This window comes from Homo sapiens, chromosome 1 (genome assembly GCF_000001405.40).
Source record: "Homo sapiens chromosome 1, GRCh38.p14 Primary Assembly".
In the NCBI taxonomy this organism is placed as follows: domain Eukaryota; kingdom Metazoa; phylum Chordata; class Mammalia; order Primates; family Hominidae; genus Homo; species Homo sapiens.
The window spans coordinates 229,242,690-229,270,574 of NC_000001.11; the positions used below are offsets into that span (position 1 = coordinate 229,242,690).

At 43.5% G+C, this 27,885-nt stretch overlaps 4 long non-coding RNA genes across 5 annotated transcripts in view, besides 2 other annotated features; 2 read left to right on the forward strand and 2 right to left on the reverse strand.

Moving 5' to 3' along the window:
* On the reverse strand, positions 1 to 14,009 carry LOC102723935 (uncharacterized). Its single transcript, XR_426935.4, has 3 exons — positions 13,598 to 14,009; positions 835 to 903; positions 1 to 336 (listed from the first exon to the last, which is right to left on the reverse strand). It is a non-coding gene; the product is annotated as an uncharacterized LOC102723935 (long non-coding RNA).
* TMEM78 (transmembrane protein 78) lies at positions 6,947 to 9,121 on the forward strand. Its single transcript, NR_172940.1, has one exon. It is a non-coding gene; the product is annotated as a transmembrane protein 78 (long non-coding RNA).
* Positions 10,209 to 11,083: an enhancer, noted in NCBI's record as "NANOG-H3K27ac-H3K4me1 hESC enhancer chr1:229388645-229389519 (GRCh37/hg19 assembly coordinates)". NCBI's record gives its function as "activates a minimal SCP1, AML or CMV promoter by ChIP-STARR-seq in primed H9 embryonic stem cells {active_cell/tissue: H9 hESC(primed)}" and the evidence as "EXISTENCE:reporter gene assay evidence [ECO:0000049][PMID:30033119]".
* On the forward strand, positions 10,661 to 15,591 carry LOC124904540 (uncharacterized). Its single transcript, XR_007066924.1, has 2 exons — positions 10,661 to 10,793; positions 15,390 to 15,591. It is a non-coding gene; the product is annotated as an uncharacterized LOC124904540 (long non-coding RNA).
* Positions 11,084 to 11,957: an enhancer, noted in NCBI's record as "NANOG-H3K27ac hESC enhancer chr1:229389520-229390393 (GRCh37/hg19 assembly coordinates)". NCBI's record gives its function as "activates a minimal SCP1, AML or CMV promoter by ChIP-STARR-seq in primed H9 embryonic stem cells {active_cell/tissue: H9 hESC(primed)}" and the evidence as "EXISTENCE:reporter gene assay evidence [ECO:0000049][PMID:30033119]".
* RAB4A-AS1 (RAB4A antisense RNA 1) overlaps positions 14,203 to 27,885 on the reverse strand; it is a 14,263-nt gene continuing 580 nt past the window's right edge. Inside the window, exons 2-3 of one of the 2 annotated variants that reach the window (NR_149312.1) lie at positions 25,265 to 26,938; positions 14,203 to 16,431 (exon numbers count right to left, since the gene is read on the reverse strand). This is a non-coding gene — a long non-coding RNA (RAB4A antisense RNA 1). The remainder of the gene's footprint in view (positions 16,432 to 25,264; positions 26,939 to 27,885) is intronic. The other variant, NR_149313.1, reaches the window with a different exon arrangement.

The following is a 27,885-nucleotide window of genomic DNA, read 5'->3' on the forward strand; positions in this document are numbered from 1 at the left end:
TGGAAGCCAAAACTGTCCCAGGCACACATTAATTCTCACTTTAATAATCTGTGTTCCACAGAGAAAATAGAATTAGGAAAGTTCATTTGTATGATTTTCAGCAAGTCAAATATCCACAAACTTACTTCGTGGGAGTTTAGAATGTAAGAAACAGAGAAATGAGGTTGTTGTATAGAAATTTCACAAGCCTAGCCAGGCATGGTGGCATGCACCTGTAGTCCCAGCTATTTGGTAGACTGAGGCAAGAGAACTGCTTGAGTTAGGAATCTTGAGGCTGCAGTGAGCTATGATTGTGCCACTGCACTCCAGCGTGGATGACAGAGCAAGACCCCATCTCTAAAAAGAAAAAGAAAAAAAGAAACTTCACAAGCTCAGAATTCTAGGAAGCAGCTGAGCTGCCCACCTCTAGTCCTGGGGCCTCAAAGCTATTAGCTTATCAACTTGTCATTAGGGCCAAAGCAGGAAGAGTTCTGAGGAGGAAAGGGAAGGGAGGTGGGAAGCAATACCTATAGCCAAAGGTGCTCTGAAAGCCACAGAGAATCTGGCCTAAATGGGGAGACCAGGCCCAGATCTCAAAGCCTGTGTTCTTCCATGAAAAGGTGGAACAGTGGAAACTGATTATTCAAATACCTCTCATGCTTTGGCAGAGAGAGGAAGGAGGGAGACAGGAGGGGAGGGTTATCATTAGCCTTTGTTGGCTATTCATCTTTCTGTCATACAGGAGACAGCTTATAAATGTTGGATGAATGAATGATTGATTGAATGTATTTCCCTGCGCAAACTTAAATTGACTTATTAGCTTCAAATATTGGAATAGCATTTGTAGACACAAACCAAGATTTCAGACGGCTCCACTACTTGTACTGGATTCCTCCACTTCAGTCCAGATCCCTCTCCCAAGTCCTGTAAAATTAGAATAACATAATATGTGTATAATTATATTACAGTGTTGATGCGATGATTTAAAGAGTTAACATATATAGGGTGCGTAGGATAATACCTGCCCTACTGTAACCATCATATAGGTGGATATGATGATAATGGTGGTGGTAGTAAAGGTGGTGGTTAAGGCAGAGGGGAGGTGGTGATGGTGGTAATGAAGGTGGTGAAGGCGATGGTTGTAATTGTATTGGCAGTGGTAGTGGTGATAAAATCCAAGCACCATAAAACAATTTCAAAAAGTCTAACATACATGCAATTGGAGTCCCAGGAAGAATAAAAAACGAAGAATAGGTTGAAGCTCAGTAATTCCAGGGGGAGAAAAAAGAAATAGGACAGGAGAAATATCTGAGACATAGTACTCAAGAATTTTCTAACATTAGACAAAAACAACAAAACCATAGGTCCTAGTTCAGAAAACCCTAAGTAGGATCAACACAAAGAAAAATACACCCGAACATTAGAGTCAAAGTGCTGAGAACTCAAAGATAAAGAGAAATCTTCCAGGCAGCCAGAAAAAAATTACTTATATAGGATAAAAAGGGATAATAATTATAGTTGCCTTATTGGCAGAAATCATGGAAGCCAGTAGGCAATGGAGAGAGAGCTTTACAAGACTGTAAGAGAAAATCCTGTCAACCTAGAATTCTATACCAAGCAAAAATGTCTTTTAAAAATGAAGGCAAAATAAAGATTTTTTTCAAACAATCAAAAGCTGAGATAATGTATTGCTGTCATGCTCTACAGAAATGTTCAATTGTAGCAGGACGAGCCGCAGACAAAACCTGTCAGACACCAAGTTGTAGAAGGAAGGGCTTTATTCAGCTGGGAGCATTGGCAAGCTACTGCCTTAAAATCCGAGCTTCTCGAGTGCACAATTTCTGTCCCTTTTAAGGGCTCACAACACTAAAGATTTCACATGAAAGGGTCATGATTGATTGAGCAATCTAGGGGATACGTGACAGGGGTTTCATACACTGGTAGTCAGAGAGAAACAGAACAGAGCAGGGAGTTTCACAATGTTCTTTTATACAATACCTGAAATCTATGGGTAACATCGGGTTCTAAGTCATGAGTTGATTTTTAACTACTAGGTTTAGGCCAGGCAGGCCCAGGCCTGGTTTTGGGACTGGCGCTGGGCTGCCTGTCTTTGATTTCACTTCCTTGTTTTTTTTCTTTTTTCTTAAAACAGGTACTGAGTATAAAACAATATAAAACAATATGAGAGGGTCTCTCTCCTCCCTCACAATAAAGTTCTTCAGGGAGAAGAAAAATGATACCAAGTAGAATGTGGGATCTCAAAAAGAAGAAAAAAGGAAGAAAAAGAGTGCCCAATGTGATAAATACATAGGTAAATGAAAAAAAAAAAAAAGACAACATCGTGTTCTTCCAGATATAATTTTTTGTTACCTAAAGCAGGGATCATAAACTACAGCCCACAGGATAAATCCTGCCTGCTGCCTATTTTTGTAAATAAAAATATTTTGGAACACAGCCATGCTCACTTATTTCCGTCTTATCTATGGCTGCTTTTGTGCTATAAGAGTAAGGTTAAGTAGTTGCAATAGAGACTGTATAGAGTGAAAAATATTTACTATCTAGCTCAGAAAGTTTGCCAACCTCTGGTCTAAATGTATTGTGGGGGCTGAGTGCGGTGGCTCATGCCTGTAATGCCAACACTTTGGGAGGCCAAGGCGGGTGGATCACCTGAGGTCAGGAATTCGAGACCAGCCTGGCCAACATGGTGAAACCCCCTCTCTACTAAAAATACAAAAATTAGCCTGGCGTGGTGGCGCATGCCTGTAATCTCAGCTAATGAGGAGGCTGAGGCAGGAAAATTGATTGAACCCGGGAGGCAGAGGTTGCAGTGAGCTGAGATTGTACCACTGTACTCCAGCCTGTGCAACAGAGTAAGACTCCATCTCAAAAAAATAAAATAAAAAATCAATGTATTGTGGGATTTATGATGCATGTAGACATATGACAACAACAGCACAAAGAAGGAAAGCAGAAATGGAGGTGTACCCCTGCACAGTTCTTACGCTATACAGGAAGAAAGACTGGGGTAAGTTAAAGATGTATATGTAGACCCTAGAGTAACCAGTAAAAAATAGAAATAGAACAAAGAGGCATAGCTAATAAGCTAAGAGCTGAGATAAAGTATAATTAGAAAAAATACTCAATTATTCCAAAAGAAGGCACGAGAAAAGAAAGAAGATGGGACAAACATGGGGTTGGGGTACAAATGCAGGATAGTAGATGGAACCCAGTTGTATCAAGAATTACATCAAATAAATGGTCTAAACATTCCAATTAAAAAGCAACAATTAGGTTGGCACAGAGGCACGTACCTGTAGTCCCAAATACTCAGGAGGCTAAGGCAGGAGGAGCCACTGAGCCCAGGAGTTTGAGGCTGCAGTGAGCTATTACCACACCACTGCACTTCAGCCTGTGTGACAGAGTGAGACTCTGTCAAAAAAAAAAAATTAAAAATTAAAGTAAAAAGCAGAATTGTCAGGTTAGCGTCAAAAAACAAAAAAGCAAGACTCAGTCTATGCTGTCTATAAGAAACCCACTTTAAATATAAAGACATAAATAGTTTAAAAGTGAAAGGCTGGGAAAAGATATGCCATACACACACTAATTGAAAAAAGCTAAAGAGGCTGTATTTATAGCAGACAGAGTAGTATTCAGGACAGAGAATATTACCAGGGATAAAGATGAACATCCTATTATGACGAGCAGGTCAATTCTTCAAGAAGACATAGCAAGATTAAATGTGTGTGCCCCTTATAACAGAGCATTAAAACACAGGAAGGAAAAACTAGTAGAAAGAGAAAATAGACAAATTCAAAATTATAATGGGAGATTCCAACATCTCTCTCTTATTAATTGATGGAATAAGTACACAGAAAATCAGAAAGGATATAGAAGATTTCAATAACATTAGCAACCAACTTAACCTAATTGACATATATAGAACACTTCATCCAACAATGGCAAAATGCAAATTCTTTTCAGGTGCTCATGGGACATTCACCAAAACAGACTACATTCTGGCCTGTAAACTAGATCTCAATAAATTTAAAATGATTAAATTCATACAAAGTATATTTTCTGATCTCAATAGAATTACATTAAAAATTAATAGGCCAGACGTGGTGGTTCACTCCTGTAATCTCAGCGCTTTGGGAGGCTGAGGCGGGTGGATTGCATGAGGCCAAGAGTTTGACATGGCAAAACCCTGCCTCTCCTAAAAAAATAGAGAAATTAGCCAGCCATGATGGTACATGCCTGGCTAATTTTTGTATTTTTTTTTTTTTAGTAGAGATGTGCCTGGCTAATTTTTGTACTTTTTTTAGTAATCCCAGCTATTCAGGAGGCTGAGGCATGAGAATCACTTGAACCCAAGAGGCAGAGGTTACAGTGAGCTGAGAACGTGCCATTGCACTCCAGCATGGGCAACAGAGCAAGACTCTGTCTCAAAACCAAAGAAAATTAATAACAGAAAAAAAAACTGATACTAGCCAGGGTTATCTAGAGTTTGGAGAAACAGCATTGCTGACAGGAAAATTAGCATAAGCTTTCTGAAGGCTAATTTGGCTCTATGTACCAGGAATTTAAGATGCACATCCCTCTAATCCAGCTATTCTATGTCTAGACATTTATGCTAAGAAAATAGCCATGGATGTGGGTAAAGATTTCAGTACCAGATTGTTCAAGACAAACCTAGTGGTCGGGCATGGTGGCTCGTGCCTGTAATCCCAGCACTTTGGAAGGCTGAGGTGGGTGGATTGCTTGAGCCCAGTAGTTTGAGACCAGCCTGGGCAACATGGTGAAACCCCGTCTCTACTAAAATAATAATAATACAAAACTTAGTTGAGTGTGGCGGTGTGTGCCTGTAGTCCCTGCTACTCAGGAGGCTGAGGGGGGAGGATCACTTGAACCCCAGAAGTGGAGGTTGCAGTGAGCCAAAATCACACCACTGCACTCCAGCCTGGGTGACAGAGTGAGACCCTGTCTCAAGAAAAAAAAAAAAAAAGACAAATCTATTGCTAGTAGCAAAAAGAAAATTTTTTTTGAAATATCTTAAATGTCCAATAATAGTAGATTAAATGTTTTGATATGTTCAAATAGAATACTATGTCATGATTTAAAATATCTTTATGGAAAAAATATTAGCATGGAAAAACATTCACCATAAAGTGTTCATGTGAAAGAAGTAGATTATGAAACAATACATACACTATATCCCAATAATGTGTGTGTGTGTGTGTGTGTGTGTGTGTGTGTAGAAGGCTAAAAAGCATATATTTCTGTTTTAGTCTGTGCTGCTGTAACAAAATATCACAGACTGGGTAATTTATCAACAATAGAAGTGTATTTGTCACAGTTGTGGAGACTGGGAAGCCCAAGATCAAGGCACCAGCATGTCTGATGTCTGCTGAGGGCTGCTCTCTGCTTCTGTGATGGCACCCTGTTGCTGAGGGAGAAGACAAACCCTGAGTCTTCACTTGGTGGAAGAGAAGAAGGGGCTGAACTGGCTCCCTCAAGTCCTTTTATGAGGCATTAATCCAATCATGCGAGCAGAGTCCTCACGGTCTAATCACCTCCTAAAGACCTCACCTCTTTCTTAATACTGTTACATTGGGGATTATCTTTCAACTCGAATTTTGGTTTTGTTTGTTTGTTTGTGACAGAGTCTCGTTCTGTCACCCAGGCTGGAGTGCAGTGGTGCAATCTCAGCTCACTGCAACCTCCGCCTCCCAGGTTCAAACGATTCTTGTGCCTCAGCCTCCTGAGTAGCTGGGATTACAGGCATGCACCGCCACGCCTGGCTAATTTTTTGTATTTTTAGTAGAGTTGGGGTTTCACCATGTTGGCCAGGCTGGTCTAGAACTCCTGAGCTCAGGCAATCCACCTGCCTCAGCCTCACAAAGTGCTGGGATTACAGGGGTGAGCCACCGCGCCCGGCCTCAGCATGAATTTTGGAAAAGACACAAACATTCAAGCCAAAGCAATATCCTTATGTTAATTCCAGTTATCTCTGACCATGGAATAATGGATAACTATAATTTTATTCTTTGTGCTTCTCTGTACAATCCAATTTCTCTCTACAATAAATATGTATTGCTTTCAGAATCAATGAAAATAAGTTGCATTTAAGAAAAAATTTTTCTCTTCTTCCCAGTTTGAAATACATTTTCTTTAAATTCAAGTCTACTGCCACATTAGGCAGGTTTTGTTTCTTTTTTGTTTGTTTAAATGAAACAAGTAACTGTTCAGCAAGTGGCTAAGAATAACCTCTCCAGGCAGTGGTAAGAAGTAGGAAGTAGGGAAAGAGAGAAAAGAGCTACTCAGGGTCAAAAGAGGCACCGACAGGGTTGGGGGTGGAGTTCAGAATGCCAGGTTAGCTGCCAAGGTACAGAGAGAGAAAGACAGAAACAGAGAGAAAAGGAGGGAGAGAGAGAGACAGAGCAGAGAGGGAGGGAGAGAAGAGAGCACACGTGTGTGCTTTGACCAGCAGGCCAGGATGGGGCTGTTTTCCTCTCCTGTGTCTGCCCCCACCTTGCAGGATCATTTGGAGTCATTGCAGGGCTAGCTTAGCTCTGCCTGAGTCACCCCCAACAGGTAAACTTCTACCAGCAGAGTCTCTCCTTTCGGTTAAAGAGTTGCTTATAGATCTCGTGGTTTTTCAGTTAACATCCTCAGGATCCCCACTTCAGCTCCCACCTTCTTTCCCAGGTCTGGCCTCCCTAGTCCCAGTTTTGGCTCCATCATCCTATTTCCTTCACTCCTTTCCTCCAGCTTCTTCCCAGCTTCTTCCCTTCGTGCATCTGCACCTCAGCTTCCCAGTGCTCTGTGTTCACTTTGCTCATCGCTCGGGCTTCAGCATCTCCCACTATGTTGGTTGATAATTCCCCACCAGAGAGCCACACACCCCTGAGGAAGAAGGGAGAAGCCAGAGGTTTCTGGAAAATCCAGGAGGCGGAGCAGGCTGGAATGGAAGGTAGAGACAACCATGAAAGTTGAACACGTCATCTGTGCAGGACCGTTCATACTGACATGTGGCTTGACACCAGAAATCTGGGTATTGTAATATCATGTTGGAAAGGAGTTTGTGTGCCTCAAACAACTACTCTAGAGATGTTTTACAATGACAATGATAGAGTAGAGGAATCTTCTAATTCCTACCAAATCAGAAGGGAATTCCTCCTTCCTGCCTGCCTGCCTGCCTTCCTTTCTTTCTCTACTTCCTTTTCTTTCTTTCTTTCCTTCCTTCCTCTCTCTCTTTCTCTCTTTCTTCCTTTCTTTCCTTCTTTCTTTCTTTCTCTCTCTCTCTCCCCTTCCTTCCTTCCTTCCTTCCTGAGACAAGGTCTTGCTCTGTCTCCCAGGCTAGAATGCGATGGTGCAATCATGATTCACTGCAGCCTCAACATCCCAGGCTCAAGTGATCCTCCCACCTCAGCCTCCTGAGTAGCTGGGACTACAGGGGCTTGCCACCACGCCCAGCTAATTTGCGTGTGTGTGTGTGTGTGTGTGTGTATGTGGTAGAGATGGGGTCTCACTATGTTGCCCAGCTGGTCTCAAACTCCTGGTCATAAGCAATCCTCCACCTCGGCCTCCCAAAGTGTTGGGATTACACGTGTGAGCCACCATGCCCAGTCTCTATTTCTTAATAGTGTCAGCAACTGAAAGATATAGAAAAGGAAGTCTGTTTGGTGTGTCTGTTGCCTCCCCAAAATCTTCAGCCTTTGTAGGACAGTGCATCCCACTGGGCAAAACCAGAGAATATTCTTTTGTGAGCCCGTAAGTAATTGTCTGCAATAGACATGCAGGGGCCTCTACTGTCATCTCTTATGCAACTGAACTTCCTAAAAACTGTGGTGTTTATCTCTTCTGTTGCTCAGCACTGCTGGGACTGGGACTGCAAAAAACAAAAAAGCACCCAGGTTTACTGCCCTTAAAAAACTGACTGCTAGAGGAGATGAGCATATACATGACAGGATGTGATAAGATATTAAGCAGAATGTGATCAGAATCATAGGAAGTATATACAAAAGATGGGAACACTAATAGAGGTGACTACAACCACCTGCTTTGTAGAGGAGATGACATTCAAGCTGAGTTTTAAAGGATGAGTAGGAGTTGGCCAGAAATGGAGAGGGAGAATAAACCATGGGGAAGTAGTACACAGGCATGGCATGTTTAGAGCATTTTTGGAGCAGGGTAACCAGAATATACTGGAGGTTGCTAGTAGAGGAGATTGGAAAAGAAAGGGTCAGATTATTAATGGATTTACGTATTATGCAAAGAAGTTTATATTTGACCCTTTTTTTGACAATCTGGCATTTAGCCTTATCATAAAATAAAGATCTCTCAATGCTTCACATAGAAACTTCATCTGATCTCTTGAGGATCAAAAAATGGCTTTCTGGGTTTTTTTTCTTTCTCTCTCTCTTTTGTTTTTAATATCTCACATATACTTTAACCACCATAAATTCAAGTTTTCTCTTACTCAGACATGAGTTGCTTAACAATGGAATAATTCATTTCTTTATTTCTCAACATTGCCCTTTTGAAGGTTTTAGGTTTTAGGTTTTCTAAAACTCTGAATACTTTTGGCTATCATTATCCAGGGAAAGCCTGAAGACACTCCAAAGCACAAGGACAAAAGAGACCTTGTTAGATCTAATTAAGCGCTCCAGCACCAGGGGCACGGGGAGCAAGAGAAAAATACAGAGTCAGAAACTGAGCCGAGTTCTATGGTGGTACAGAGTGAGGCCTGCTTCACTGTGGGCTGGGGCTGGGGCAGGGAGGCCTTCATCTTGCTCTAAGCTGTGCAAAGTACCTCCCACGAGGCTAAGTATAGAGCTACTCAATAAAAATTATGCAATGTGGCTGGGCACGGTGGCTCACATCTGTAGTCCTAGCACTTTGGGAGGCTGAGGCAGGTGGATTGCCTGAGCTCAGGAGTTCGAGACCAGCTTGGGCAACACGGTGAAACCTCGTCTCTACTAAAATACAAAAAATTAGCTGTGCATGGCAGCATGTGCTTATAATCCCAGCTACTGGGGAGGCTGAGGCAGGAGAATCGCTTGAACCTGGGAGGCGGACGTTGCAGTGGGGCAAGATGGCGCCATTGCACTCCAGCCTGGGTGACAACGCGAGACTCCATCTCAAAAAAAAAAAATGCAATGCTTAATAAACTCTCTCTTATCCTGATCCTCCTTCCTCTCCTCCTCCTCCTCCCACCACCACGTCTCTCCTCATTCCAGGTGGCTTTAAATATCAACTGTATAATAAAGCCTCCAACGTGTATTTCCCCAACCTTGACCTCTCTTGACTCATACATCCATCTGCCAACTCAACATCCCTCTGTGATAGTTAACAAGCAGCTTATGCTCTACAAATCTTGATTTCTGCATCCTTCACGTGGCAGACGACATTGACCAAAGATGGGCACAATACCTCCTATCCCACATGTTCTTCTACAATGTGACATCGACACCCTCCCATCCAGGGCCAGGGTCCGTGTCTCCTTCCTTTGAACTCGGACCAATCTTCGTGACTCCTTCAAGCAATAAAGGACAGCAGAAATGAGACTATGGGAGTTCTGAGGCAAAGGCATGAAAATGTCACCTGCTTCATATCTTGTTTTCTTGGGAGGCCACTTTTGGAGCCCAGCCGCCATGCCATGAGGGAGTGAACCCCAACACGAGGAGGTGCAGGAGTTCTGGCTGACATCGCAGCTGACGGCCCAGCTGACAGCCAGCATCCACAGCCAGACGTGTGAGTAACAAGCCTCAGATGGCTCCAGCCAACCTTTGAGCTGCCCTAACTAATCTCACCTGCAGCCGTCCCCATCGAACCCTGCCCAGGCTGCAACTGGTGAGCAAATCAAATGATTGCTGATGTTTCATGCCACTAAGTGCAGGATGGTTGGTTTGTTTGTCACTCAGCAGTAGATAACTGAAACGCATCTGCCGAAAACCTTCTCTGATTATAGAGCCATTATCTACTCCACTGCTCAGGAAAAACCCCACTCTTCATCTCCCAGCAAATCCAGTGGATTCTGCCTTCAATTATATCCAGAATCCAGCCATTTCCTGTCACCTCCCTCCCCATCCCCCGCAAGCCTCTATCATCTTTCAGGATGGGCAACAGCCCCTAATGGCTCCCCACGTCTGGACTTTGTCCCTTACAGCCTAGTCTCCATGAGTCTTTAGCATCCTAGTGCCTCTTGTTAGTAACTGTCTTGTGCCCTATCCCTTAATCGCATCAGGTCTCACTCAGAATTTAAAAATAGAAAAATGCTTTCAGTGGCCTACAAGACCCCATATTCTGCCCTACACAGCCTGGTTCACTCCCCATTCCATTGATCTCCCTGCCCCGGCTGCTGTCCCTGCAGGCCCCATCAGTATGCTCCCATCTCAGGGTCTTTGTCTTCTGGAGGGCTCTTCCCCCAGATACCACAACCTTTGCTCCCTCCCTTCCCCTTCGGTCTGGGTACAAATGTCTCCTTATGGAAGAATCCTGCAGGCACCCTACTGAAAGCAGAACTATGGCTTCCCCCGCCCTCTCGCCCTCCAGGCAGGCCCAACCCCCCTCACCATTCGTTTTTTTCACTTACTTATCACCGCTGATGTGCTATATATTTACTTATTTGCCACATCTGTCTCCTCCCACATGCAAGTATTGCTCCATGAGGTCAGGAACTCTGCTTTCTTTACTGCTGCATCCCCGGGAACCCTAACAGCACCTGGAATTAATGAGCATGCAATGTGTACTTGCCGAGCAGATGTGAATGAATTACTTTGAAACTGACGCCAAAGGGCACCATCAACACAGAGGTGAGTGAGTCAGAATAGTCCCGCCTTTGTTCCCGCTCCCTTAGGATAGTTTCTCTTTACTTGACTTCTTTAAAAGAAAATCCATCAACAAGTTAATCACAAGGAAAATACTGACGGATTTTCCTCATTGCCAGACATTTAGAAAATATTCTGCATCTTTCTTCAGCCTCTAGGCTTCCTGACATTCCTTGAAGATGTTAGATCTAAACAAGCACCTGAGACAACTACTTCACTGAACTAAACACATGTAAATATAATCTTGATGACGCTGCCTTAGAGGTAGAATTATGTACCTCGAAGTCACTGAGACTTTCTGCTACTCTAGAAACCACTTCCTGTGTTAAGTGCAAAATAGGCATGATTTTATCTGTGTTCAGAAAGAAAAGTCAGAAAATTAAATTACAGTGATAGCTTATCTTATGCACAGGGCATTTTTCTTTTAACAACTAGAAGCTTTAAAAATCGAATATGTAATTTATATACCTTATAGAAAGATTTTAAAACATACATTAAAAAGTAAATAAAAATAATTTAAAATCCCAGAGGCTGGGTGCAGTGGCTCACGCCTATAATCCCAGCACTTTGGGAGGCCCAGGCAGGCACTTGGGGCCAGGAGTTCGAGACCAGCCTGGCCAACACGGTGAAACCCCCTCTCTACTAAACATACAAAAATTAACCAGGCGTGGTGGCACACGCCTGTCGTCCCAGCTACTTGGAAGGCTGAGGCAAGAGAATCTCTTGAACCCCAAAGGCGGAGATTGCAGTGAGCCAAGAATGTGCCACTGCACTCTAGCTTGGGTGACAGAGCAAGATGCCATCTCAAAATAAATACATAAATAAATACATAAATAAATAAATAAGTTTAATCTAATCCCAGAGATAACAGTTATTACTTGATGCATATTCTTTTACCACTTTGTCGATGTATCCATCTACATATTTATATTTTTTCTTATTAAAATGGAGCCATACCAAAACAACTGCTTGAAGTCTGTTTGAAGTCAGCTTTGCCCTTTAAGATTTCGAAGGTAGGCCAGGCGTGGTGGCTCACACTTGTAATCCCAGCACTTTGGGAGGCCGAGATGGGCGGATCACCTGAGGTCGTTAGTTCAAGACCAGCCTAGCCAACATGGTGAAACCCTGTCTCTACTAAAAATACAAAAATTAGCCAGGCGTGGTGGCATATGCCTGTAATCCCAGCTATTCGGGGAAACTGAGGCAGGAGAATGGCTTGAACCCAGGAGGTGGAAGTTGCAGTGAGCCAAGATAGTGCCACTGCACTCCAGCCTGGGCAACAGAGTGAGACTCCATCTTAAAAAAAAAAAAAAATTTCAAAGAGGTAGAACCTTTACAAGTCTTCAACATTGTCTGTAGGGAGAAGATCTCAACACGCAGCTCAGGACATCCAGCTCCTGGTCCCTATTCAGCACAACATTAAATGACAAGACCTTGGGTAGAAATACTTTCATTCTCAGAGTGTCAATTTCCCTGCCTGTTCAAATGAGACAGGTTAACTACAAAAGCTAGGCACAGATCAACTCTGTGGCTTCTCCCCTTGGGTGCCAAAATGTTAAAGCTTTGAAAATGGCAGAGTATTTTCAGGTGTGGCATCACACTGCCACCCCTAGGCTCATGAGAGATATCCTAAAAAGACTGAAGCCTCAAGAAGCCCTAGATCCTAGCTACATTTATTCAAAAGCTGGATAATTTACATGCTAGGGGGAATTCTTACAGAAAATGCCATTCATTCATTCATTCACTCACTCAACAAATATACAGTGAACACCTATCCTATGAAAAGCTAGATTTATAAAAAGGTTAGAAAGGCATGACTGATATTTGCCTTCAAGAAACAGTCTAGGGGTAGTAAGTATATAGGTGAGTACATGAGAAATTATGACACAGCCTGGTGGTTGCCGTGGAATATGTGAAGGAGCACTGGAAAGTCATAGTTCAGGAAAAGATCATGGAAGAAATGACACCCTGAGTCTTGAAGAAGGAATAGGATATCAGAGCACAATGATTAGAGAAGGTTGGAGGAGGAGGACAAGATGGGAAGAAAGGACCTTTAAGGTAGAAAAAGCTTCCTACACAAAACCCACAGCATGTCTGGAAATGATGAGTGGTTCTGAAGCAACAGAAAGGAGCGTGCCTGGCAGTAGACAAGAAGGGGCAGAAAGCGGGGTGGCCAGGCCTGGAGGGATGCCAGCTTCAGAGTCAGAAGAATCCGGGCTCCCCTAAACTCAACCATTCACTTGGGGGTGTGGGGGAGATGAGGCAGGTGCTGAATCGGCCAGATTTCAGCTCTGAGCTTCTCCTTATCTCTAAAATGGAATCATAAAATCCACTCCTTGCAGAGTTCTTCTAAGAATTAGGAAGAAAGTGTGAAAAGTGTCTGCCATGTAGAAGACATTCCATGTGATGATAAGGTTATTGTTATTAAAAGTAAGTTGGAGTCAGATCATGGTGTGCTAAAGAAGTTTTTTATCCTATGGACAGTGGGGGTCACAGAAGGATTCAAACAGGGAATTACACAATTTGATTCACGTTTGACAGAGCTCTCTGTGGATCCAATTGGTACTTAACCTTGGAGCCCCTTGAAATTCTATCTAGAATATTCTGTGTAAATGCATATGTGTACTTTACTCAGGAAGAGTCCCTAGTTTTCATTAGGCCACAGTGAGCCTGTGACTCCATACAGGTTGAGAATCACTGACAAGAGAAAAAATACATTGGGCATGGTGAGGTGGGCAGGAAGGGGAGGTGGAAAGAATGAGGAGATGCCATATTGTAAAAATACTCACCAGACCTGTGAAGACGACCACATGGAGAGGAACTGCAGCCTCCTGCCGACAGCCAGGTGGGTGAGCCATCTGGGAAGTGGGTCCTCCAGCCCCAGTCTAAACCTCAGGTGACTGTAGTCTCACAAGAGACTCCAAGTGAGAAGCACCCAATTAAGTTGCCCTTGACTCCTGATCCACGGAGACCGTGTGAAAGAATAAGCTAATCATTTGAAGCTACTAAGTTTTGGGGTTCATTATAGAGCAATAGACAACTGATACATTCCTTTAAGTGTTACCACAACTCCATTTCTGGGCATCACTGCCTTTGGCTCATTTGAGAGTCAAGTTTTCATGAGAAGCTTCTTTGTAACATTTCCACTCACAGACCCTGGCAAACTGACTTCAGAGTCTAGCTTTTTTTTTTTTTTTTTTGAGATGGAGTCTCGCTCTGTTGCCCAGGCTGGAGTGCAATGGCGCGATCTTGGCTCACTGCAATCTCTGCCTCCCAGGTTCAAGTGATTCTTCTGCTTCAGCCACCCAAGAAGCTAGGATTACAGGCACCCACCACCACACCTGGCTAATTTTTTTTTTTTTTTTTGTATTTCTAGTAGAGATGGGATTTCACCATGTTGGCCAGGTCAAACTCCTGACCTCAGGTGATCCACCCACCTCAGCCTCCCAAAGTGCTGAGATTACAGGCATGAGCCACTGTGCCCAGCCAGAGCCTAGCTTGTAATCACTCCGCTCTACTACCTCCCACCTTCCTTTCTTTGTGTAATAAGATTGCAGTACACAGTGCTGTACAATAAACAAAATATTTTTATACACATAGTCACACTTCATCCTCACAGGGATCCTGAGGCAGGAGAACAGTTACTTTTGTATTTCTCCATTTTGCAGTTTATAAAACTGAGGCTCAGAAAAATTGAACTTCTTTGCCCAAGGTCATTCAGGTACTAAGTGGTAGCTGGGACTCAAAGCAGTTCTTCCAACTCAAATCCCCATTTCTTTCTGTATTCGTCTGCTTGGGCTGCCATCACAAAGCAGCATAAACCGGGAGGCTTAAGCAACAAACATATCTCATCTCACAGTTCTGGACGCTGAAGTCCAAAATCAAGGCATCAGCAGGATTAGAACTTTCTGAGGGGTTGAGAGAGACTCTATTCCATGTCCCGCTCCTGGCTTCTGGGGGCTGCTGGCAATCCTTGCGCATTCCTCGGTCTGCAGGTGCATCAGTCCAGTGTCTGTCTCCATTGTCACATGGCATTCTCTCCTTGTGTGTCTCTCTCCTCCTCTTTTTTTGTTTTGTTTTGTTTTGTTTTTGTTTTGTTTTTTTGAGTCAGGGTCTCCCTTGTTGCCCAGACTGGAGTGCATTGATATGATCATAGCTCACTGCAGCCTCGGACTCCTGGGCTCAAGCCATCCTCCCACTAGCCTTCCAAGTAGGTGAGACTACAGCTGCGTGCCACCATGTCTGGCTAATTTTTAAATTTTTAGTAGAGATGGGGTCTCGATATGTTGCCCAGCAAATCCTGGGCTCAAGCGATCCTCCCGCCTCAGCCTCCCAAATCGCTGGGATTACAGGTGTGAGCCACTGCACCCAGCCTCTCCTCCTCTTATAAGAACACAGTCATACTGGATTAAGGGCTTGCCCTAATGACCTCACCTTAGTTTCATAGTTACATCTGCAAAGACCCTTTTTCCAAATAAGTCTGCATTCACAGGTATTGGGGCTTAGGACTTTAACGTATCTTTTGGTGGGGGATACAGTACAACCCACAGCATTTTCATAACTCATATTTTCCCTTAACAGACAATCTTTAGAGCATCGTTGGACTGTGCCTAAACTGCAAATTCTTGGAATCACCCTGCTGGTGCTGGCCTTGTCACAAAGCACAGCCTGGGAAAGGAGCATTCCAGAAGAGTATGTCAGTGAACCCACCAGGGGGCACTATGTGACCAGAAAATAACCCCAAAACACCAGCGGTTGCATTAAATTCCATTCTGTTAATGAATATTGTTTCTTAACTTTATTTCTTAAATCAGCAACTTCACATTTGATAAAGAGTCAAGGATTTCCTGATACTCGAATCACAGATTTCTGAGCAGCTTTAAAACTCATTGTTCCCCTATATGTAGCAGTGGATTGCTAGTAGCCCTACCAGGTCCTTGAATTGCTCTGGAATGCCAGGTGGAGCTAAATTGAGGGGTCAGGAACTCCTCATTGGATGTGAGATTCAAGTGAGACCATATATCTAAAAATAAGTTGAAGAGCAGGATAGCCAATCTCTGCAGGATTGGGGTCAATCTATCTCTGGGAAGTAATGTTCAACTCTAAGCAAAGCTGCACAAGAAGAGAAATCTGCATTCGGCACTGCTTCCTGGCTGGCCCCACTGCTCCTCCCTTCCTTCCTGTTCAGACACATGTCCCACAAACTTGCCCCCAAACCCCATTGCCTACCAGGTCCCAAAGAGGCCCCAAGTTCCAAAGCCACTTCCCCCACAAGCACAATTTCCAGTTTCCTTAAAGTCAGCAGTAAGGAAAGGCCTCTCCTTAACTGAAACAAAACGTGAAATTCTTTTGGGCAAATCAAGAAGGGATCTGGAAGGAAAACCCACAGGGCAGCCTCAGTATCAGCAGTCCCTGAGTCCCGCCCCTGGGTGGTGAATCTGTTCCTTGGGATTCTGGCATTTCGCCTTAACACAGAAGGCGCTCTTCTGGGCTGATTAAAAGGCTCGGCATATTCTCTCCATGGTTATCCTTACTGTGTGCTTATAGGTGGTGCCAGCACTCATTCATTCATTCCACAGATGTTTGTTGGGCACCTAAAATGTGCCTGACACTGGGACAGATGCTACAGGAGAAAAAAAAAAAAAGAAAGCTCAAGTCTCTCCCCTCAAAGATTTTACATTATCAGCTCAGAGAGCTCCAAACTCCTTGCCCAGCCAATACCCAACAATTCCTACAGAATGGGGGCAGGGGGAGTAAATTTTTAAAAGAAACTGAACAGATAATGTTTTAAGGAGGAAATCAACCATCTCAACAGAGAGGATCGAGGAAAAGTTCTGAGTCGAGCTCCTCCCTAAGAAAGGAGGGAGAGGGCCGGGTGCAGTGGCTCACGCCTGTAATCCCAGCACTTTGGGAGGCTGAGATGGGAGGATCGCCTGAGGTCAGGAGTTCGAGACCAGCCTGGCCAACGTGGTGAAACCCTGTCTCTACTAAAAATGCAAAAATTAGCTGGGCGTGGTGGTGGGTGCCTGTAATCCCAGCTACTCGGGAGGCTGAGGTAGGAGAATTGCTTGAAGCCAGGAGACAGAGGTTGCAGTGAGCCGAGATCGCACCACTGCACTCCAGCCTGGGCAACAGAGCAAGACTCCATCGCAAAAAAAAAAAAAAAAGAAAAGAAAGAAAGAAAGGAGAGAGAATGCAGGAGGGAGAGTGAGACTCGGGAAAGAACAGGGGAAGTTGACAACCACCCTTTTTCTACCAGCTCTCATTTAGCCCATAGTATGTTTCTAACCCATAGATATTTCTAACTGAGAAATATCTCCGAGCAACATGTCCTCACTGCTCAGACATAAGGATTTTCTCACTCACTGCATTTAATGCTGTATTCAATCTCTGCTGTTCTCTGTTCCATTTTCCACAAGTGGCAGTGCCTTTAGGAACAAAACCATTCCTCAACCCCCAGCAGGATTTCTCCAAATGTGGGACCACCTGCATTAGAAATACCTGGGGTCGGCCGGGCGCAGCACTCATGCCTGTAATCCCAGCACTTTGGGAGGCCGAGTTGGGTGGGGAGGGGGGGTGGTGGATCACCTGAGATCAGGAGTTCGAGACCAGCCTGGCCAACATGGTGAAACCCCACATCTACTAAAAATACAAAAATTAGCCTGGCATGGTGGTACGCTCCTGTAATCCCAGCTACTCAGGAGGCTGAGGCGGGAGAATCACTTAAACCCGGGAGACGGAGATCACAGTGAGCTGAGATCGTGCCACTGCACTCCAGCTTGGGTAACAGAGCAAGACTCCATTTCAAAAAAGAGAAATAATTAAAACAAAAAATGAAAGCAGAGATAGGAGCAACACTTGCTGGGAACACCAAAAATGGCCAGTAAGGCACCAGAAGCCAGGAGACAGGCCTGGAACAGAATTTCCCTCAGCATTCAGAGGGTAGCAACCCTGCTGACACCTTGACCTTGGACTTCCGGCCTCCAGAACTGTGAGACAATAAATTTCTGTTGTCCAAGCCACTTGGTCTGTGGTACTTTGTTACAGCGGCCCCAGTCATCTAATCCAGGAAGGTGACATGGTGCGACACCAGAGTTTGATTGCATGCCTGCTGACCTGGCTGCTAGTCCACACAATTTCAGGGAAAGGAAGAGAAAGTCTAATGACTCTGACCTAAATCTCTCTCTCTCCTGTAAAGTCACAGGGAACATCAATAAAGCCAGGAAGCTTTTTCTATTAGGCCTCATTAGTCTTCCATTAAAGGGCACATTTCACCAAGCTGATAGATGGAAATGGTATTGGCTACTGTCTGGTGGAACACAAATGAAGATGTTTGAAAGGGCAAGAAAGACAGGCTGCTGAGAGGTCTAGAGGTGGAGCGTATGGTGGGTGGTCTGTGCAGTGGGGAAACCCCCACCTTAGTTTCCTGGAGTAGGTTACATCTTCCCATGTGAAAGCCAATAATCCGTTACCAAAACGTCTCAAAATGAGTCCACAAAGGGCTGGAAAAAGGCATAAAGGAACTCTTGGGGGTGACAGAAAAGTTCCATACTGGGACGAGGTTGAAGTTGTCGCATGACCGTGTACATTTGTCAAAACTCATTGTACACTTAAAATTGGTGAATTTTGTTGTATGTAAAATTATACCCCAGTAAAGCTGATTAAAATGTTAAAATTAACCATAAAAGAAAATTTCAGTTGGTGGTGTTCAGGGATTATTTTATTTTATTTTATTTTATTTTTGAGACGGTGTCTCACTCTGTTCCTCAGGCTGGAGTGCAGTGGCGCAATCTTGGCTCATCGCAACCTCTGCCTCCTGGGTTCAAGCAATTCCCCTGCCTCAGCCTCCCAAGTAGCTGGGATCATAGGCATCTGCCACCATGCCCAGCTAATTTTTGTAGTTTTAGTAGAGACGGGGTTTCACTATGTTAGCCAGGCTGGTCTCGAACTCCTGACCTCGTGATCTGCCTGCCTCGGCCTCTCAAAGTGCTGGGATTACAGGCGTGAGCCACGGAGAATTTTTTTTTAAGCAGTTCTTGTGAAAACTATCTTTTAAATAAGAAACCAGGCTGAAAACAGGCCATTTAATTTGAAACACAGTATCGAAAATAAATAAGTAAATAAAAGATAATTCTATGGTACTTTTATCAGAATATGGAGGAAACACATAAATATAATTAAAAAGAAAAGAGGAACCAGAAAATCCTCTTTTTCTGAATACAAAACAAGAATTTAAATGACTCGAATGAATAATCCCTGGGTATCAATGCTGTTAAATGCAGAAATAAGCAGAGATGCATCACATTAGAACTGATGGAAGATTTGCTGGTAACTTTCAAATGAGAAGATGAAGGTAGGAAATTATCGTATCACTGAACTCAAGAACTCTATCCACAACTCTAGCCTTGGCTTAATGTTGTAGACTGTTATTTGCAGCATATTCCTGTTAGATAAACAAAATCTCTGTGCTTTGGAGGATGACAGACTCAAAGATTTGAGTTTCATATTAGAGAACTGGATGATAACTTCAGGACTATTTTCTATCTTAAAGCTAACCTGAGCTTATGCTGAATTTATAGAAGTGCTCTGGGAATGTTTTCTACCACAAACCCTTTCTCATCTGTGTCTCCATACTTATTTGGCATCACAGTGCAATAAAGAGCCCTGGTTTGGATGTCACCCTTGACTATAATATAAAGATAAGAAGAGCAACCTTGTCAGGTGGTGTAAGGATCAAGGGAAGTGACATAAAGCACCCAGAACAGGGCCTGGCTCAACAGAGCGCTGTTTTCCTTAGGCATTAAATAATTCAATGCCTTTTGAAATCATAGCTCTGTGTTTTGGGCTTTTTATATTGCATTTTTAAAAGGAGAGGTGTCAGTTTGGTTTGGTTTGAGATAGCAATTCCAACATTGATACATACTAGCTGTGGAAACTGGACAAAATATGTAATCCATTTGGGCCTTTGTTTCTTCATCTGTAAAATGGGATAATACCTCCCTTATAAACCTGTTGTAAGAATTAGGTTTTCTAATACATGTAAAGCACTTAGCACTATACCTAGTGTTTATCAAGTACTCAATAAATTATACTAGTATTAGACGATACTTTAGTTTTATTATAGCCTTCCCACAATCACTTGGTAGCATATAAGAGATCCACTATTTTTTTTTTTTTTTTGAGATGGAATCTCTCTCTGTCACCCAGGCTGGAGTACAGTGGTGTGGTCTTGGCTCACTGCAGCCTCTACCTCCGGGGTCAAAAGATTCTCCTGCCTCAGCCTCCCAAATAGCTGGGATTGCAGGCATGCACCACCACATCCAGCTAATTTTTGTAGTTTTAATAGAGACAGGGTTTTACTATGTTGACCAGGCTGGTCTCAAATTCCTGACCTCAAGTGATCCGCCTGCCTCGGCCTCCCAAAGTGCTGGGATTATAGGTCTGAGCACAGAGCCCGGCCAGAGACCCCCACTTTTAAATTTCCCATAAATCAACATATTTACAATTAAGTTCATTACATTAAATCCATAGAGAGCTGCTGAGTTTTGTTCCATTCATTCACTCATTCAACATCTTCCGAGTGATTGAGGGTTTACTATGTGCCAAATACTATTTTAGGCATGGGGATGGAGCAGGGAACAAGGCCAAAGCATTTCCTGCCCTTATAGAACTTATAATCTAGAGAGGGAGCACACAATAAACTAATAAAGGATATGTATTTTAAGTGATGTTAAATGCTATGGAGTGGGGCATAGAACAAAATAGGGGGCAAATGAAGTGCTGGGGGGATGAAATGGAGAGGGGTTGCTATTTCATATAAGAAAAGAAAAGCCCTCCTCATGAGGTGCCCTGTGAGCAGAACACATGTGGGCTGTGAGGGCCATGTAGACATCTGGGACAAGAGCATTCCAGGAAGAGGAAAAAAGCACATGCAAAGGCCCTGAGGCCAAAGGCTGCTTGATGTGTATAAGAACCAGCAAGAAGGCCTGTAGGATCAGAGTCAAGAGAATGAGGGGTTGGGGGAGCAGACCATGGATGACTTTATAGGCCATTGTGAGTGAGATGAGGCTTTGAGCAGAGGGTGGCCTGATGGGACCTATAGTCCCCTCCTCCCCCCAACACTGGCTGTTTTTTTGTTGCTGTTTTGTTTTGTTTTGTTTGAGATAGAGTCTCGCTCTGTCGCACAGGCTGGAGTGCAGTGACATGATCTCGGGTCCCTGCAAACTCTGTCTCCCGGGTTCAAGCGATTCTCCTGCCTTAGCCTCCCAGGTAGCTGGAACTACAGGCGCCCCCACCACGCCCGGCTAATTTTTGTATTTTTAGTAGAGGTTGGGGGGTTACACCATGTTGGCCAGGCTGGTCTCGAACTCCTGACCTCAAATGATCCACCCACCTTGGCCTCCCAAAGTCCTAGGATTACAGGCAACACTGGCTGTTTTAAAGGAGAATTGTCATTTATTTTTGGTTTTGTTTGTTTACATTTTAATAGGATTGCTCTAGCAGCTGTGTTGAGAAAAGACAACACAGGGAGACAAGCATAGAAGCAGGAAGGGGAGGTAGCTGCAAAAGGCAGGAGAGAGGTGAGGCGGGCTGGTCCAGGAGGTGGCCAGGATTCGGGGGTGAGGCAGTGGGAGTAGCAAAAGCAGATTCTGGATGCTCTTGACAGTAGAGCCTGTAGGACTTGCTGATGGATCAAATGTGGGTGTGAGAAGTCAGGCAGGACTCCCAAGGTTTGGCCCTGGTGTGATGTTTAATATTAAGTGTCAACTTGATTGAAGGATTCACAGTATTGTTCCTAGGTGTGTCGTGAGGGTGTTCCCAAAGGAGATTAACATTTGAGTCAGTGGACCGGAAGAGGCTGACCCACCCTCAATCTGGGTGGGCCCCATCTAATCGGCTACCAGAGCGGCTAGAATAAAGCAGACTTGCTGAGTCTTCTGGCCTTCATCTTTCTGCCGTACTGGATGCTTCCTGCCCTTGAACATCAGCCTCCCAGTTCTTCAGCTTTCGGACTCTTAGACTTACACCAGTGGTTTGCCAGGGCCTCTTGGGCCTTTGCCCACAGATGGAAGGCTACACTGTCGGCTTCCCTATTTTTGAGGTTTTGGGACTTGGACTGATCCACCACTGGCTTCCTTGCACCTCAGCTTGCAGACAGCCAATCATGGGACTTTAGCTTGTGATCGTGTGAGTCAATTCTCCTCAATAAACTCCCTTTCATATATACATGTATCCTATTAGTTCTGTCCCTCTAGAGAACCCCGACCCTGACTAATACACCTGGCAAACTGCCATTTACTGAGATACAAAAGATTGCAGAAGGCACTGGTTTGGTCAAGAAATCTGGATGTTTGGTTTGTTTGTTTGTTTGTTTATTTTGAGACGGAATCTGCTCTGTCGCCCGGGCTGGAGTGCAGTGGCATGATCTCGGCTCACTGCAACCTCTGCCTCCCAGGTTCCAGCGATTCTCCTGCCTCGGCCTCCTGAGTAGATGAGACTACATGTGCGCGCCACCATGCCTGGCTAATTTTTTGTATTTTTTAGTAGAGACAGGGTTTCACCATATTGTCCAGCCTGGTCTTGAACTCCTGATCTTGTGATTCACCCGCCTTGGCCTCCCAAAGTGCTGGGATTACAGCCGTGAGCCACCGTGCCCGGCCTTGGTTTTTATTTCGTTAGTATTAAGAAACCTAATAGGCATTCATTCAAGTGGACGTATCAAGTAAGCAATTGTACATAGAAGCCTAGGCAAGCTAGAAATTAAGGAATCATCAGCTTTAGATCATATTGAAAGCCTTAAGACCAGATGAAATGAATGAGCAAGTAAGTGACTGCAGAGAAAGACTGCCACAGACTGAGCTCTGGAGTCAGACAGGAGGAAGAAGCAGCACTCCCTGAGCTGGGGGTTGTGCAGAGCTGTACAGAGAGAGAGAGAGTGCCAGAGGTTTGCAGAGGGTTCCCTTCAAGTCTTTACTGAGCAGTGCAGGCAAGTGAAGAAATACCTGCATTTCAAATTCCTACTGTGGTAGGCACTCCTACCCCATGCCAGATAAAGAATCACCAGCGAATATTAGAGAAAACAATCCCCAGCACTCACGCACGGCCCAGAGGAACTCCGAATTCCGCCAATCATGGTGAAAACCTTCACAACTCAAGGATTTGTTGAGTAGAATGCTGCTCAGGGCCCACCCCCTAAAAAAAGTGTAAAAACATGACCTGAAGCATCAAGCTCTTTCCAAGGAACTTACCTGCACCCCAGAACAAAGCTCAAAAATATTCATAAAAATAAACATTATATGTATCTCAAAGTAAACTTCTCAATGTCTGGCATTCAATAAAAAATTATCTGGCTTGTAAAGTAGGAAAATATTACCTACAATGAAGAGAAAAGCCAATCAATATAAACAATCTCAGAAATTACTTAGGTGATAAAGTTAGTAGAAATGACACATGTTCCATATGCTTGAGCACTAAACACGGAAACCAGAGGACCCAGATGCAGGTCCAGACACCGAGTGAAACTTCTGCAGGTGAAATGGCAATGCCTGAGACGAAAAATACGCTGGATGGAATTGACAGCAGATTAGATACTATAGGAAAGATGAGTGAATTTAAAGACACAGCAATGGAAATTACACGAAAATGAAAAACAGAAAGAAAAAAGACTGACAAAAAATGAACAAAGCCTGAGTTAGCTGTGAAACAAATTCAAGTGATCTAATATTTGTGTAGTAGAATCGCCAAAGGAAAGGAGAGGCAGGGGCAGAAAAAAATATTTGAAGAAATAATGGCTGAAAAAACTCCAAATCTGATAGCAACTATAAACTCAAAGACCAGAGAAGTTCAGTGAAACTCAAGGACAAGAACTTTAAAGAAAATCAACACCAAGGCACATCATAATCAAATTGCTTCAGACTAGTGATACAGATGAAATCTTAAAACCAAGCAGAGATAAAAGACACGTTGCATAAAAGAAATAAAGATAAGAATGGCAGTTCACTCCTTATCGGAAACAAAATGAGCCAGAAAACACTGAAACAGTATCTTCATGTTAGAAAAAAAAAATTGAAAACCCTAAAAATCGAAATTGAGCAAAAATAGCTTCAAACACAGAAGTGAAATAAAGACTTTTTTGGACATATAAAAGCTGAAAGAATTAGTCACCAGGAGATCTACACTTCAAGATCTGTCAAGGAAAGCCCTTCAGACAAAAGGGAAATGAGACCATGGAAATCTAATCTATACAAGAGAATAAGGAGTCTTAGATATGGTAACTATGTGAGTAAATATAAAACACTTTTTTCTTATTGTTTAAATCTATTGAAAAGAATTGGCTGAAAATGCAGTATATATGTACAAAGTATTGAATAGTATTCAGTCTTAAACAGGAAGGAAATTCTGACACATTCTACAATGTTACAGATGAATCTTGAGGACATTATGCTAAGTGAAATACGACAGTGAGGAAAAGACAAATACTGTATGACTCCATTTATATGAGGTACTGTACCTAGAGAAGCCAATTCCTAGACAGGAAGTAAAATGGTGGTTGCCAGGCACTGTGGGGAGAAGTGAATGGGGAGTTGTTGTTAAACAGGTACAGAGTTTCAGGTTTGCAACATGAAGCGTTCTAGAGATGGATGGTGGTGATGGTTGCACAACAATGGGAATATATTTAATGCCACTGTACATTTCAAGATGGCTGAGTTGCTACATTTTATGTCTATTTTACCACAATTAAAAGGAAAAGAGAGACAGAGAATTAGTAGCTTATTAAGTAAAAACAATAACAATGTATGTGGGTGTACAACATATGTAGAAGTACAACATCCCCAGCACAGATGCTGGGGGAGGATGGAAGCAAATGGTTGTCAGTTTCTTATACTCTGTATAAAGTAGTGTATTATCACTTGGAGGTGGACTGTGATGAAGACCTATACTATCAACCCCAAAACCACCACTAAACCTCACAAGAAGTTATTCTTCCTAAGTGACAAATGAGATAAAACAATCACAAAAATGCCTCTGTCCACTGAAAAGGCCTAGAAATAGCGGTCCCCTGGAGCAGCAAGCACAAGCGTACATATATATTAAAAATTGTCAAAATGTACACTTTAAATATGTGCAGGCCAGGTGCGGTGGCTCACGCCTGTAATCCCAGCACTTTGGGAGGCTGCCCAGCACTTTGGGAGGCTGAGGCAGGCGGATTACCTGAGGTCAGGAGTTTGAGACCAGCACAGCCAACAAGGCGAAACCCCGTCTCTACTAAAAATACAAAAATTAGCCAGGTGTGGTGGCGCGTGGCTGTAATCCCAGCTACTCAGAAGTCTGAGGCAGGAGAATCACTTGAACCCGGGAGGCAGAGGTCATAGTGAGCTGAGATCACGCCACTGCATTCCAGCCTGTGCAACAAAGCAAGACTACATCTCAAAAAATAAAATAAAATAAATACATACGTATGTGCAGTTATGCCTATACTTCAATAAAATTGTTTCAAATAAAAGCACGATGAGCTGCCTGGACAGGTGAAAATTCCAGTGGTAGTCATAATGTCTTTCCATAGACTTTCTCTTCTCCTTTCTTTCAGGGACATAACAATATTGCATTTCCTGTCCTCTTTGAAATTAAGTGTTGCCACATGACTTGCTTTGGCCCATGAAATGTAAATAGAAGTTCTTATAGCAATTCCTGGTAAGTGCTTCTCTAACTAATGCACAATCAGTCCTAATGCATAGCCACTCCTACCTGAGTGATTGTGGAGATGCATTTAGATAAAACACACTCGGTCAGCCTGGGTCTAGGAGGGCCCATGAGCAAGTCTCTGCTCGTGGGAGTGGACAGGTAGTCTGAGCGAGGAACTTTGCTGCGTAAGTCATAAATGGGTTGAGAGATCTGCATTACTGCAGTTAATCTAGCCCATTCTGACTGAATATTCCCTAGCAACAGAGGTATCTGATCATGGACATAGTTTTGACAGTGGAAGGTAAAGTGGCCCAGTGACCTCTGAGGTGTCTACTTTCTTGAAGATGTGAGTTATATGTCATAGTCTCCACCAGCCTGGGTGTGGAATTGAGCTTCCATTTTCAAGTCTCCACTTGTATGTCTGGAATTTGGCTCCTTCTCAAGGTAACACCCAGGGATTGCTGAGTTCCCAAGTGCTCAGACACAAGTCCACTCATTTTCTTCAATTCCAGTTACCAAAGAAAGTCACCATTCCACCGAGGCTGTGACCAGTGCCCTCCACCAGGCCTAGCTCCAAGAATCTCATGCATCAAGCCCCAGGGCTCCTCACGTTGGGCATTAAATGTAAGGTCATGCCACATTCTTTAACATTGTCAGGAAGCAGGAAGGAAAGTACCAGATACTTGAAGGACCCACTGACCTGGAAAAAAGTGGGATCTAGTTTCAGCTTGAAAAAATCCTTCTTCATAATTACATTTCCCTTAGGCAAATCTCTAACATGCCTAGGCTTTTGTATATCTGTTTTTACTGCGTCACAAACCTCCCCCAAAGAGAAGGGAGACGATAACTGGAGAAAACCACAAATTAATCTTCCAATATTTTTTTCTTCCATATAATCAGCAGTGCCTCAGAATCAAAGCAGTCTCTAAAAATATTTTGAAGAAATTTATTTTCTTGGATCTTCAAAGATCCAAAGTTACTGAGATGCAAAGAATCTTCCACAGTATCATCCAAGGATACTGAAGGGCTCCTTCAAACCTCGCCCTTGTATATTTCTTCTTCCAGTTGTGATACTGCAGTTACATTTGCAAACCAAATGATCCCTTTGGGTGGTTTTTCCAAAACAAATCGTCTTTCCCAAAGGCCTACCTAAGTCTTCATTTTCCACAAAGTAGAAAACTGCCCACAGCTTTGAAATGGCAGCATAATTTGTATTTCTACCACCTTGTCCAGGTTTCAGGGATCTCTGGTCCAGTTTCAGTCAATAATGCTAACTATCACTGCAGCTCACTGACTTCTTTCTTGTACATAGCAGTTTTTCGCAGGAAGAAAACAAATCTAACGAATAGGAATAACTTCAGGTGATGCTGTTTTCTTCCCGCTTCCTGGGATCACTGTCTTTCCTCTGAAATGGTTTTAATCAGAACCAATCTGTTATACTCAGGAGCCTAAATCAAACACGACATGCAGAGAGACAAACAAGAAAGCAACAAATGATCTGAGCCACTGAACAAGAAATATATATAAAACAGTTTTAGGAATTACAGCTGTCACAACTTTTCACCATGGGGCCTTCTCTGTGATTTAGAAAAAACTGCATTTATTTGTTATTAGGATCGGAGACAAGAGAAAAATACCGACCCAAATAGCCACTGGGGAAGAGGGAAGCTCTGATGCCAATTTATGTGGAGGATGGAGCCAAACTGACTCACACACACACACACAAAAGTATGTACTGGCATTTTCCACACAGTCCAGGTCACTTGGGAGCTTAGCCAAGGATATTTTGAGCATTCGACTACCTATTGTGAACAAGGTTGGGAACTATGAGGCGCTATGTGGCCCTGATCAAGCTCAGATGGGCCAAATCCTCAACCAAAATTCTCTTTCCCATAAATGTTTATCTCTACATTTCCCACAGAAGGGGATTCTAACTCAGTTTTGCTTCTGAAACCAAACTATCCAAGGCCAGGTGAGATGACTCATGCCTGTAATCCCAGCAATTTGGGAGGCCAAGGAGGGAGGATGCTTGAACTCAGGAGTTCAAGACCAGCCTGGGCAACATAACAAGACCCCATCTCTACAAAAAATTTAAAAATTGGCGCGGTGTGGTCGTGTGAGCCCCTAGCCCCAGCTACTCAGGAGGCTGAGGCAGGAGAATCGGTTGGGCTGGGCTGACAGTGCCAGACCCTGTTAAAAAATAAAAATTAAAAAAACTCCTAAATTTGGAAACACATCCCCAGCTGAGGGCCGGGAGATACTTCTCAACCGTAATCCAGAACCCTCTAAAATGGGATGTGGAGAGGCTGCAGCCTGTAGTCTTGCGATGACCTTTTAGCACCTGGGCATCTTGCGCTTCTGTCATTCCGCCCACACCCGCTCAGCTCCATCCAAG